Source organism: Homo sapiens, chromosome 9 (genome assembly GCF_000001405.40).
Source record: "Homo sapiens chromosome 9, GRCh38.p14 Primary Assembly".
NCBI lineage: Eukaryota > Metazoa > Chordata > Mammalia > Primates > Hominidae > Homo > Homo sapiens.
In genome coordinates, this window is record NC_000009.12 from 18089024 (window position 1) to 18103836 (window position 14813).

The following is a 14813-nucleotide window of genomic DNA, read 5'->3' on the forward strand; positions in this document are numbered from 1 at the left end:
TATATATACACAATGAGATATTATTCATCCTTTAAAAAGAAGAAAATGAACCCAGGAGATGGAGGTCGCAGTGAGCCAAGATCGTGCCATTGCGCTGCAGCCTGGGCGACAGGAGCGAAACTCTGTCTCAAAAAACCAAAAAAAAGAAAACAAAAAATTTGTGACTCTGCCAGGTTTTGGTATCAGGATGATGCTGGCCTCATAAATGATAGACTTGATAAAGAAAAGTGGCACATATATACCATGGAATACTCTGCAGCCATAAAAAAGGATGAGCTCATGTCCTTTGCAGGAACATGGATGAAGCTGGGAACCATCGTTCTCAGCAAACTAACACAAGAACAGAAAACCAAACACTGCATATTCTCATTCATAAGTGGGAGTTGAACAATGAGAACACATGGACACAGGGAGGGGAACATCACACACTGGGGCCTGTCGGGGGGTGGGGAGCTAGGGGAGGGATAGCATTAGGAGAAATACCTAACGTAGATGACGGGTTGATGGGTGCAGCAAACCACCATGGCATGTGTATACACATGTAACAAACCTGAATGTTCTGTGCATGTATCCCAGAACTTTAATAAAAAAGGAAAAGTATGGATGAAACTTGAGAACATTATGCTATGAAATAAGCCAGTCACAGAATGACAAATATGGCATGATTCCACTTGTAAAATAGTCAAACTCATAGAAGCAGAGAGTATAATGGTGGTTGTCAGGGTCTAGAGGGAGGAGAAACTGAGAATTGCTTATTGATAGAATATACTTTCAGTCACGCAATGTGATAAGCTCTAAAGATCTGCTGTATAAGATCCTGCCTATAGTTAACGATATTGAGTGGTGCACTTAAAAATCTGTTATAAGGGTAGATCTGTTAAAAGAGTAGAGCTCAGGTTAGGCTTTTCTTACTATAATTTAGGTTAAGGTTGGTAATTATAATTTATATTAAGTTTGGTAAAATACAGTTCAGAAGTTGTTACAGTGTTTTAGCATTTGTTAGCACTTTCATTTTTAGTTTAAATGCTTGGTATTAAAAATTACTTGTTAACACACCCATAGGATGTCTATTATGAAAAAGAAAAAGAAAGTAAGTATTGGCAAGAATGTGAAGAAATTGCTGGTAGGAATATAAAGGTTGCAGCTCCCTTACAAATAAAAGTATGCCACTTCCTCAAAAAATTAAATGTAGAATTACCATGTGATTCAGGATTCCACTCCTAGGTATAAACACAAAAGAATTGAAAGCAGGGACTCAAATAGATATTTATAAATGAATGTTCATAGCAGCATTATTCACAATAGCCAAAACAGGAAAGCAACTCATGTCCACTGACAGACCAATGAATAAACAAAATAGGGTATATACACTGAATAGAATATTATTCAGCCTTAAAAAGGAAATTCTGACTCACACTGCAACATGGATGAACCTTGAAGACATTATGCTAAGTTAAATAATTCAGTCACCAAAGGATAAATACTGGATGTTTCCATTTATATGAGGTACCCAGAGTAGTAAAATTCAGAGACAGAAAAATAGAGTGGTGGTTGCCAGAGGCTTGGAGGAGATGGGAAATAGGGAGTTAGCATTTAATAGGTACAGAGTTTTAATTGCGGAATGTGAAAAAGTTCTGGAGCTGCATGGCGGCAATGGTTACAACAATATGAATATACTTAATACCAGAGAACTGTACACTAAAAAATGGTTTAAAATGGTAAATTTTATGTATCTTTAAACACAATAAAAATAACTGGAAAGTCATTCCCATTCCTGCTTGACATTTAAGACCCTTTCCAACTTTATCTCTGCCTTCTCTCCTTCCTCCCCCTGGCGTTTTCCTTGCTTTTTTCTGGTGGTTTTCTTGTTCCTCATAACCACATGACCCTTCTTATTCTGGGCTGTGTACACATGGAACACTGTTCATGTAGCTTCTCTCTCACTTGCTTTCGCAGGTTCTCCTCAATGGTACCTTCTCCATTAAGCTTTTCTCTCCAACTTGAAAGAATCTTTAGTTAAATAAGTAGTGTGTGTGTGTATATGCATGTGTGTGTGTGTGTGTGTGTGTGTGTACCTAACTTCAAATCAGCCAATTACTGGATATAAATTGGTAGTCAACCATTAGCCCCACGGTACTGTTTTTTGTTTGTTTTTTGTTCTTGGTATCACTGACACAATTTTTCACTTTAAGCCAAGTTCCTTACATAAAGTTTATATGGTGTCTTCTTTTTGATTATATTATATCTTATTTATATGGTGTCTCATCTTGGTAGTGTTATTTTTTGGAAAGGGTCTGGCTGAAGTGTCATGATAACAAATTATCATTCATATTTTATAAAAAAGGAACATCAAGGAGGCAAGTCTTTGAATTAATAAACCTATATAGAGTCTTGAATTTCACCCTGGCCTCTGGCTGTGCCCTTCTGCGATCTCTGAATGTGGATTTAATTTCCCTCATCTTGGGGTTTTCTCTCTGTAAATCAGGACCTTCCTTGTACTATGGAGAATAAGCTGTAACATCATCACACAGTGTCTAGGACACTAAGACATTAGAGTCAGTGACATTTGGGTCCTGATGCCAGTTTTAACATTTAGCTGTGTATCCTTGTCCATGTCACTTAATTTTTTTGGATTATTAGTTTTCTCACATGAAAATGAGGATAGCCATCACAGTGAACTTATAGAGCAATGTGGCATGAGTAATTGGTGAACACAGTGTGCTATTAAAAAGTAAAGGGGCATTATAATTATTAAAGCACAGTCCCTTCCATCTAGTAGCAAGAGAGTCCTTGCGCCTAAAATGATGAATAAGAAAACAGAGCAGCACGGGTATTGTGAGTGAGTGAGTGAGTGGTATAATTAGTGAACGCTAGAGAGGCTGCAAGGAAATCACAAAGGTCCAAGACAAGCTTTTAATTTTAGGAAATCTCATGAACTTCTCTCTTGATTACATTCTTTGGGAATGATCTGTGTCAGTTTCTAATTGTAATTTGATATTTCCTCTGATATTTTTGTTCATCTGTAGATACATCTGGGATACTACATCCCCAAGCAGCTTGGGATTACCTGAAAAAATAATCATTCAAAAAATGTTTGCTTGGCATCGTCTATACTTGGGGCTCGGCTCTGGGGAAAATGAAATGAATAAGACATTGACTTTAGATCACAGATCTCTCAAGACAGTTGGGGAAGACAGACATATAAAAAGGCAATTGTAGCTCAACATGACAAAAGCTATAAGGTACCCAAGGCTGTGAGAGCACAGGAGAGACAGAGATTATCTCTCTGGGAAGGCGAGGAAGGCTTCGCAAAGGAAGTGACATTTTTATTGGGTCATAAAGAATGAGTAGAAAGTATCAGGCAGAGAAAATGATTTCAGCAATATAGTTGAATTAGGGAAATGCGTGTACACACACATACATGTATTTGTTCCAAAGTCAAACATGAATTATTTTGGGGATTATCTTCTGTCTTTGGTCCATACCACTATTTCTTTTTTTCTTGATGTGGATAATTGAGAAATGACTCCAGTGATACAGGAATAAGCTCTTGTGCCTGGCATTTGCACTTTGGATTTTCCCAGTCTTTCCCCAATACTTGTGGTCCAAAAGCTCCTAGTAGAGAATTTTTCATTTGCTCCAGAATTCCCCAGTTTCACTTCCCACAAAGATAGTCTAGTCAGGATACTTTGGGCCACCAACATAATAGAAAGTTGCCAAAATAAATGTTTTCCATCAAGATTTCACACTTGCACTTAATGAAATAGACATTTTTCAAACTGTTTCTTTAGAGCTAAGTTTTTCTTTAAGATTTGTAATGAAAATATTTCATGACCTGTTGACATATTCATATGGTGATTTTCAAAAGGCAGACTTCATTTACAAAATGGACTTGGCAACAAGTAGGAATATCTGGGAAGCTGAACAAGGCTGTTGACAGGGAAAATTGGGGCTCAATCGTAGCTGACATTGTTTTGCAGCTGTGCCATATTTTAAGACTGACCAATGGGATGGGGATTATGGAGGCCTCATGGTAATAATGCTGAGATTGGCAGTTAATGGTCATTCATAGTGGAACTGCATAGGTAGCAGCCGACAAGTACAGAAAATAAGTTCCTGTAATGGATTTTTTATTTTTTTTGCAAATGCCAGGGAAGCAATAGAAGAAATACTATTTAGAAGAAATATAGTAAAGAAAAAAAATCTGCAGTATTTTTCAAAGGAACAGATTTAAAAATCAGAAATTTTTCTTTGAATTCTTAGCCCTGTATTTTCTTTATCCTTTGTTATCTCATTCAGTTAGCTCTTTGGCTAGTTGACTAGCAGATACCTAATTTAAGTTTTTTAAATGCAGACAGTTTAGAATAGAATATATGCTGTGTATTCCCCCTACTCTGTAGTTGAAAGTTAACAAGGAGCGTTCAAATTCAGATGGCATAAGGCCGCATTGGAAATAGCCCTCAAAATTAATTCATTTCAACTATTCTTTTAGGTTTATGAAATTTATATTAGGACTACCCTCATTTTCCTAAGCTTCTATTCCTCATATCAGTAAGCTGAGAGGTTATTAAGAAAAATATAAATATTATTACTTAGAGTTACAGACTAACAAATGTAACTATAAAAATCTAGTAAAATTCTTTAGGAACCAAGAAATAGGCTCTCCTAAAGTTTTTAGCCATCCCTGGGTTTCAAAGTATTTGGCAAAGAGCATGGTATTTGAGCTTTGGTCTTGGAAGAGAAAGAAATCACTTTCCACTGAGGAAGAGATCACACAAAGCTTCTTGGAAAGCTGGTGTTTGAACCAAGCTTTGGAGAGGGGAAGTGGGGCTGGATGAGGACAGGGCTCACTAGTGAGAGAAATATGGGAAGGTCATTGTGCAATGGAGCAACTCTAAGAGGAGAGGAAAAGAGGCAGGTCATTATAAGTCAAGCTTGGTAGTTGGAAAGTAAGAGGCTCCCAGGCGGAATTCTAGGTTTGGGAGTTGATCCATCATTTCATTTTGTCAGACACTAGGACACTGATGAGAGACCAGTTTTCGTTGAGTAATGTACCCAGAGTAGATTTCAGAGGCTAGAAACTGGAGGTTAGAAAACCTATGAGTGATAGCTACCATTATTGGTTGCCTGTTAAATGCCACTCACCATGATGTAAAATTTTAATGTGTTCTTTCAAACCGTTTCAAGAATTTATCTCCATTTTACAGATGAAGAGACTAAGACCCAGGGAGAAGAAACCTTTCTGCAGCTATTCTGTGGCTGGTCAGCAACAGCCTAAAACTAGTCGGCTTTATCTGCCTCTATCTCTATTCCCTGATTACTCACCATATATACTACCACTGTGTGGTTCACTGTGTGAACTTCTCAGTTATGTGTGTAGTATTACAGTTGTCTGCCCTCTTTCTTCCTCCTTCCCCCATACACCCTTCACTAATGCATTTTAGGTCTGTCATCCATTGTGTGTACAGAACATTTTGTGTATGGCATCTGTGAGCCACTGTGCCTGGCCCTCTGATTTCTTAAAGATGACTCTGCCTCATTTCATCAGGTTCGGTCAAATGCCACCTAAATCTAAGTATAATCAGTGGTTTTGTCTTCTAAATACTTTCTAATTGCAACCTCCACCTCCTGGGTTCAAGTGATTCTCCTGCCTCAGCCTCCCGAGTAGGTGGGACTACAGGTGCACGCCACCATGCCCAGCTAATTTTTTTTTTTTGTATTTTTTGTAGAGACAGGGTTTCACCATGTTAGCCAGGATGCTCTCAATCTCCTGACCTCCTGATCTGCCCGCCTCAGCCTCCCAAAGTACCTGGATTACAAGTCTGAGCCACTGCACCTGGCCCTCTGATTTTCTTAAAGATGACTCTGCCTCATTTCATCAGGTTCAGGCAAATGCCACCTAAATCTAAACATAATCAGAGTTCCCTCTTAAAAATATAAAGACTAGAATTAGAACGTTCAGTCCTATCTTTTACCTGCCTTCTTCCTTCCTGTCCCTCTATGTAGGTCACAGGTTCAGAGGTAGACCTTTGGTGCTAAAAGATAGTTCATGGACGCAGCTTACAGAGACACCTGGGAGCTAGTTGCAAATGCAGATTATTAGACGCCACCTGAGACCTTCTGAATCATAATCTATCTTTTAACAAGATGCCCAGGGGAAGTCATCATCTTACACACATGCTCTGATGAAAACACTGCATCAGAAAGGGCTCACAGCCAATAGATCACACACAAGTACCTACGTGCAGAGATTTAAACTAATGGATTTAAATATATTTAGATGGTTTTCAATCCATTTTAATTATCACAGTGTTGAAAGTTCAAATTGGCCAGGGAATGACTCATCAATTTGACACGTTTTTAGTAATCCCTGATAAGTTTCTTCTTTCTTTCTTTTTTTTTTTTTTTTTTTTTTTTGACACAGAGTCTTGCTCTGCCACCCAGGCCAGAGTGCAGTGGCACGATTTTGGCTTACTGCAACCTCCCCCTTCTAGGTTCAAGCTATTCTCCTGCCTCAGCTTCCCAAGCAGCTGGGATTACAGGCACATGCCACCACGCCCGGCTAATTTTTTGTATTTTTAGTAGAGATGGGGTTTCGCCATGTTGGCCAGGCTGGTCTCAAACTCCTTACCTCAGGTGATCCACCCGCCTCAGCCTCCCAAAGTGCTGGGATTACAGGTGTGAGCCACTGTGGTGGCCCTCCCTGATAAATTTCTTAGTGCTGGGCTGACAACGTATTTCAGTCTCATCTTGCATAATTCTTGCTCCAGTCCTGGAATCAGACATTTAAGAAGCCCTGGTTTCTTTTAGTGGGAAATGGTATTTGAAGATCCAAATCTGAGAGTCAGCAATGCCTACTGCTACTGGGTTGGTCATTGTTTCTAAGCCTCCTGAATGGGAAATATGAGTTCATTTTGTTATTTTTGATTCTTATTCAGGACTATGGATCTTTTTATTTGGTCTTGTCTGTATTGTAACTCTTTCCTTCATTTCTGGTTGTCAGGAGCATAGGGGATAATCGCATCAGACTTCCCATAGTCAGTCAATTACATTCTTTCTTATCCTTTATTATACAACAACAGTCTTAGTAACAATACTAGTATTACCACTCCCATATAACAGCATCATGTAAGTAATATGGCATGTACTACTTTTTTGGTCAGCTTCATTTACTCAGCATGTTTTTTCATCAAGTAGAATTGTTAAAAATGTTGCATATATAATGTGCATATTCAGTGAACTATAATGACAATGACTAAATATAGTAATTACCGTATTCCCTTCTTTATCTCACTCTTAGTTCTATCAATAAACGTATATTTAATTCTTACCAGCAATTTTTATTTCAACATTTCTTTAGACCAACATTGTCTAATGGAACTTTCTGCAGCAATGGAAATGTTCTGTGACTGTGCTGTTCAATATAGTAGCCACTGGCCCATGTGGCTCTTGGTACCACTCTGTGGCCAGAGTAGGAGATGGGGGTGGTGGAGATTCCTGCCATATTGGATAGTGCACTTCAGATGTTTTGGTTACGTGAAGCATGTTCTCTGTCACATTCTTCAGAATGGACTCATAGGAGCAATAGTTCCTAATGCTTTTTAAAAATCATCTTTTTCTGAAGTATACTTTATTTAAAATACAGACATTAAGAATTCACTTTTGTAGGTTTTGACAAATGTATATGTTGTATCATCACCATCCAAATCATGAGTAGAACTTTTCTGTCACCCTACAAACTTCTCAAGTCCCCTTTCAAGTTAATTCCTCATTTCCTCTTCCACAAATAACCATTGATAAGATTTCTGCCACTATAGATTAGCTTTACCAGCTCTAGAACTCATATAAATAATATGGTATGTACTCCTTTTTTTGTCATCTTCTCTTAGTATGCTTTTAAATCAACTTTGTTGAGGTACAATGTACATATCATAAAAGGCATCCATTGTAAGTATGCTTTTGGATGAGATTTCTTAAATGTATTCATCTTTGTATCAGATATACTGTCAAGATACATGGCGGTTCCATCATCAAAATACAGTCCCTTGTCCACCTTCCTAGTCAGTTACCCATCCCCATTCCAAGCCAACGTTGATCCCCATTGCAAGCCAACATCACTAGATTAATCTCTTCTAGAGTTTCATATGCATGGAATCATGTGGTGTGTATTCATTTGGTTCTGGCTTCTTTGGTGTAGGATAACATTTTTGAATGTTGTGTGTATAAATATTGCTGTGTAGCATTCTATTGTAGGCATATATTACAATTTGTTGATCCATTCATCTTTTGATAGATATTTGTGTTTCTGGATTTTGGCTATTTCTGAGATTTTAGCAGTAACACTGCTATTAACTTCAGTGTACAACATTCTGGCTGTCAAAAATTTTCATTTTGCTTTGGTAAATACCTAGGAATAGAATTTCTGGGTCATATGGTAACCGTATATTTAATTTTATAAGAAACTTCCAGTGTATTCTTCAAAGTCATTACACTATTTTATCTCCAACCAGAATTGTATAAAAGTCTGGCTGCTCCACATCCTTGTTAATACTTCGTGTGGTCTGTCTTTCCAATTTTCATCAATCTAATGCATGTGTACAATTTTCATCAGTCTAATGCATGTCTCTCATTATGGTTCTAGTTGGCATTTTCCTGATTAATAATGTTGAGCATCTTTGTAGAGTATTTGTAGTTCATACAGCTCCTTTTGTGAGACTTTTACAGAATTTTTCATTTAATTCTTATCTTCCCATTCCTAGGTTGTAAAGATTCTTTACATATTCCAGATAAAAATTCTTTGTCAAATATATTTGTTCACTTTTTTCTCTTTTATGGTTATTGTTTTTTTTTTGAGTGTGTATACTGAGAAATCTTTGCATTCTCCCAAAATGGTGAGGATTTTTTCCTATGCTTTTTCCAAAAGTTTTATAGTTTTAGCTTTTAGGTTTAGGTTAGTGATCCATTTTGAATTAATTTTTGTATACAATGTAAATTGGAGATCAAGGCTTATTTTTTTTCCAGATTGATATGCAGTTTTTACAGAAACATTTATTGAAAACGTGATCCAATCTCCCATTGAATTACATTAGCCTTTGTAAAAAATAAATTATGGGTATTTTTTGGAATTTATTTTGTTATATTTATCTATATGTTTATCATTATTCTAATAATATATTGATTAATACAACTTTGTAATAAGTATTGAAAACCAGTAGTTTAACTTATCCAACTTTGTTCTTCCTTTTTCAAGACTATTTTGACTAGTTTCTTTGCATTTCCATATAAGGTTTATAATCAGTTTATTCATTTATAAAAAGGAAATTTTAACAATTTTGGATCTTCTAATTCGTGGACATGATATATCTTTTTAAAAATGTAGATCTTTAATTTCTCTTTGCATTGTTTTGTAGTATGCAGTACACAGAACTGAGAACTCTTTTGTTAAATTTATTTCAAAGCTATTGTAAGTGATATTGTTTTAAATTGCATTTTCCAAATATTGTTGCTCGTCTAGAAACATGTAATTGATTTGCATATATTGGCCTTGTATTATGCAAGTTTGCTAAATTAACTTACTAAATCTAATTGCTTTGGAAGATCCTTGAGTGTTATCTGCAAACCATGACATGCTAACAACTTCATTTCCTATCTATAAGCCTTTTATTTCTGTGTCTTGCTTTATTTCACTGGTTAGAATTCTGGGCACCTTCTTTGTGCCTCTCTCTACTCTCTGGTGTCCTACCCTAAGGATTCCAGCCAATTCACCTACTTTGAATTCTGATCCATGCATTGTAATCTCATCAGGACCACAGTGCTTAGCTAGGACTCCAGCTCACTGAACTACAATAGAGAATTGAGAAATGTCCTTAAACAAAGATCCAGGTCAATTCTGGGGCTCACTTTGTGAGTTTCCCTCCCCTAAAGATTACAGTTTTGTGCTGTCTGTTGATTAATATCTGAAGATAGTTGCCTTATATATTTGATTCAGTTTTATCATTTACGGTGGGAGGATTAATCTGTTTATTTCATCCTATCTAGAAGAAGTCCATTCCATGACTTTTTTGCAGGTTGACAGCAGGTTTTTTTTTTTTAAATTGTTGTTATTTGTTTGTTTTTGGTGCCCTTTATATTTGGAGATCCACGTTGCTGGATGTAAAAGCTTTGGCTTACATTATCTGTCTTTGAGTATTCAAATATGTTACTCTATTTTTGCCTGGGGTGTTGCTCCTGAAAAATCTGATTAGAATCTCATTTTCTTTCCCGAGTAAGTCACTGGCTGTTTTTGCTTTGCTGCAAATGGAAAATATATATATATATATATATATATATATATTTTTTTTTTTTTTTTTAACATCCATTAATTTTACTAGGCTATGCTTTGGTTTTGGTTGCTCTGGAGGTTCATATTCTCAGATATGAGGTGTTTCATTTAATATGAAACTTCTTTTTTTTAATTTCAGAAAATTTTACAAATATAGTGTTTTTTCTGTTTCTTTGTATTTGTTTTCTTCAGGGACTAAATCTGTATGTCGAAATTTTTTTTACCTGTCTTCAATATTTGTCCCTTTCTCTTGAATCAATTTTATTTCTTTCTTCCTTTTTCTCTCTCTCCCTTTTTTTTTTTTTTTTCTTGAGATGGAGTCTCGCTCTGTTGCCCAGACTTGAATGCAGTGGCGCAATCTTGGCTCACTGCAAGCTCTGCCTCCCGGGTTCACGCCATTCTCTTGCCTCAGCCTCCCACTACAGGCTCCCGCCAACATGCCTGGCTAATTTTTTGCATTTTTAGTAGAGACGGGGTTTCACTGTGTTACCCAGGATGGTCTCGATCTCCTGACCTCGTGATCCGCCCACCTCAGCCTCCCAAAGTGCAAGGATTACAGGTGTGAGCCGCTGCGCCCGGCCCTTTTTCAAAGTTTCCTCCTTTTCACTTTCTATTTATGAAGGCATGTTCCTTTTAAATTCGTTTTATTTCTGATATAATTATTCTTCTTAATTTTTTTCTAAGTGCAGTCACTTCATTTCTGAGTTTTTCTAATTCGGAATTAATATAATTTATGTATTGTTTCATTTTTCTTAATATTGTTTAGCCTGTTTTTATGTAGATTGTTACAGTTTCAAACTGTTCTGTGGACATGTCCTCCAGAATTTTTGTCTGTAGGAACATCAGCTGCTTGTTCTTTTTGGCTTTCAGTAACTTTGCTTGGGAGTTGACCGTATTATTTTTATGTTACTCATTTGTTTGTGAAATTCGTTTACCCAAACTGTTTTTGTTTTTGAGAGTCAGTCTTGCTCTATCACCCAGGCTAGAGTACAGTGGCATGATCATGGCTCATTGCAGCCTGGAACTTCCGGGCTCAAGCAATTCTCCTGCCTCAGCCTCCAGAGTAGCTGGGACTACAGGGTGTATATGCCTTGACTTTAGAGGATGGGCCACCATGCCTGGCTAATTTCCCTGAACTTTCAGAAGGATTCTTGCATCAGCGTAGTTTTTCAAGTTCACAGAGCTCTATATTCTGTTATTTGTTCATAGAAGCTTGATTTCTGAAACTTCCTAAGTCTATTCCCCTCCCCTATTTTTTTCTGGACCTTCTCTTTACTTCCCCTTTGTTTTCCTTTTTCTGTGAAATTTTGATTCCACTCCTAGTAGTTTCTTTTCAGTGTGGATCCCTGACCTAGACAGGAGGCCTGGCTGCTAGTTTTGAATATCACAGGTGCCATCCTGCACCACCCACTTCATACCTTACCAGGATCTTGTTGTATTCACTGTTATTGGATTGGCTAAACATTTTCAGTATCAGCTTCTGTTCTGAAATTGACCTCCTATGTTTTCCAGTAAACACCTGTTGGGTATTTTTGAAATTACTCTTTTATGAGTTTCAAATGTCCCCATTTGTTTTGCACTGCCGTGTCCCATACAAACATTAATACCTTTCCAGTTTTTCGCTCTTGATGGCTTGTCCTCGCCTGCATGTAGTTGGGGATGCATGGGGATATGCTGTCACATACTTTTGTTGTATATGTTGTCTGTGGGATTTCTTTTCTTTCTCTTTCTGTCATCTGTGTTGATACATTGTCTCTTAAAGACCACCCTAGTTTTCACCATCTTTCTAGAAGTCCTACATAATACTTTTAAGGAAAGTAGATTCTAATTTAAATGAAATACAGATGAATGCATTTAAAACGGATTATGTAGGCTGGACACGGTGGCTCACGTCTATAATCTTAGCACTTTTGGAGGCTGAGGCGGGCAGATCACGAGGTCAGGAGGTCGAGACCAGCCTGACCAACAGGGTGAAACCCCGTATCTACTAAAAAAATACAAAAATTAGCTAGGCGTGGTGGCATGTGCCTGTAATCCCAGCTACTCAGGTGTCTGAGGCAGGAGAATAGCTTGAACCCAGGAGGCGGAGGTTGCAGTGAGCCAAGACAGCACCACTGTACTCCAGCCTGGGCAACAGGGTGAGACTCCGTCTCAAAAAAAAAAAAAAGAAAAGCAAGAAAAAGAAAATGGATTATGTTTCTGGAAAAGTTTGAAAACTTTTTTCCCCTGGTAGCACATTCCCATCAAAATATTTGTTAGTTGAGCCCCTTCTCAGCAAAGGTCCTGGGAAGGAGGGTTACTCTGAATTTAGACGGGAGACAAGGGCAGAAGATGGAGGTCTAGGAGGTGAGAGATAAGGCACCGTAGATAATTATTGCAGGTAGGATTGAATAAATGTATTAGGTTCGAGTAAGAAGACATGGTAGAGAATCCAGCCGGTCAGAAAAAGGAAGAGCAGCTGGCCCTCGGCTCTAGTGTGCGTATGCAGGTATGCATGTCTTGACTTTAGATCAGAGGATGGGGTTGCTCTCCCACATCAGTGTTTCTTCTTGGTGAGAAGGTTGGTTCTGTGTATAGGTGTAAGTAGTGGTGACAGGGATGTCAGAGGTAGATAAACAAAACTTACTGTATTCAGGGCAAGGACAGAAATTTTCATTTAGCTCCCGTGTGTGGGCATATTTTTATGTTTCTTTCATGTTGTTCTTTGACTTCCTTTTGAGAAAGGCGTTACTTAATAATATTTTCAAAAGACATGTCTGTTTTTGAATATACTAGAGATACTCCTTAAAAGTATGCCATTTGAAATCCTTATGAATGTAACTTGCTGTCTTCTAACCTAAGCTGATCTTTTCATACATTCAAATTTCTTTGAAGTATTTCATGGTTTTTTTCTGCCATTTATTTCTTTTTATTTACAGTTTTGTTCAATTTTTTAGCCATTTATTTTATTTATAAAGTGTTTGTCTATGTGCTTAATATAAAAGTCTGAAAATTAATTTATTTCTGAAAATATTATTTATCCAATGCCTGAGAAACAGACATGGTATTTTTCTTGTATGTCAAGGTCTTATCTTATGAATTATATACAAATATGACAGTTCACAAATGTTTCAAAAACGTATTCAGCATGAGAAGAGGGTCTTGGTTCAGTTAGTTAGTGGTCACTTCTACTTGAAGGATTCAGAAAGGTCCACAAAAGAGTTAAAATTGGAAAATGTCTTGGATGATGAATAAGATTTTGACCAGCAAGATGTGGGAGCAGGTCATGAAGAAAGAACAGAGTCAACAATCCAACAGGAGGGCTGGTTTGTGCAAAGGTACCAAGGGAGAAATCATGGCGTGTGTCCAGTCAGTACCAAATAGACCAGTTTTTCTGTATGGCATGTAAAAGGAAGTTACAGAGATTAGTCTAGAAAGCTTATAGCGATGATCAAGGGATGAATGGCAGGTAAAGGAATTTGTACTTAGCTTTGTGGATACAGGGAGTTTTCAAAAGTTTCGAAATAATAGATTTGAATAATCAGAGCTAGAAGATGATTCTGTGTGGAGGGTCAGTCAGAGAGGGAAAAAAATCCAGAGACGAAGAGCCCAGTTATGACACTAACTTGATTATGACAAAGCTGTTATTTTTGTTTACATTTGAACTGATGCCCTTGACTCTTAGTATTCTCCCATCCCTATACGTGGGTTCTTATGCCACTTTTATATATGTTGTCTGAAAAGTAGACTGTTTAGTGAGAAATGATTTCTCTATATTCCTGGGGATTTTATAATAAGCAAAGATGCCAAAAATTTACAGGATAAAGAGATCTTTGGTGATATGTAACAAATTAGATTGCAGAATGTTAGAAAAACACATTTTTTTTTCATTGAAAATTAAAGACATCTGGGCTTTTCATTGTACATATTTTACATGTTCAGGACTAGGCCAGCTGATGAGTTTAGGGACAATTTGTAGCAAAACATAGGACTTTTTAAGTTTATTACATGCTACATATATTGTTAGAATCAGGGTTAGATACTTATAACGATGTTTTCTCAAGCGATTGTAATCTTTTCAGGGGATTTTTATGATGTCAAGAACATGAATAAATTTCAAGAAATAATCTAAGGAAGATAATAAAGCCCACTTTTTTCTCTCTTTATTCTTAGGCCAGCACTATGAATTTCTGAAAAATAGATACAAAACCATCCCAGTTTCTTATAGCAAGTGGGCAATACAGGATGATATGCTCTGCTTGAACAAGTTTTTAGGGTGAGAACTGCATATTTTAGGCTTACTAGCTATAAAGTATCTATCATTGTAGGTTTCTTATAGTATTTGAGTGCCTGCTATAAAAACAGCAATGTTGTATGTCATATGAGGAATTTTTTTGAAGTGAAATTTAGATCTTTCAACCTATATTCCATGGAATTCTATTCAAGAACTTAAAAGCTGGAAGGGGCTTTAGACATCTTCTAGGCCTTTGTTTCTGGACGTGTGCTCTGTGGA

At 37.1% G+C, this 14813-nt stretch overlaps 1 protein-coding gene across 9 annotated transcripts in view, besides 1 other annotated feature; it reads left to right on the top strand.

The window, feature by feature from the left end:
• ADAMTSL1 (ADAMTS like 1) overlaps positions 1-14813 on the top strand; it is a 1004318-nt gene that overhangs the window by 182391 nt on the left and 807114 nt on the right. The window lies entirely within an intron of this gene.
• Positions 2347-2516: an enhancer, noted in NCBI's record as "experimental_107194 CRE fragment used in MPRA reporter constructs". NCBI's record gives its function as "activates a minimal promoter by MPRAs in K562 erythroleukemia cells, with activity observed for the introgressed 9:18091453 variant allele {active_cell/tissue: K562}" and the evidence as "EXISTENCE:reporter gene assay evidence [ECO:0000049][PMID:34662402]".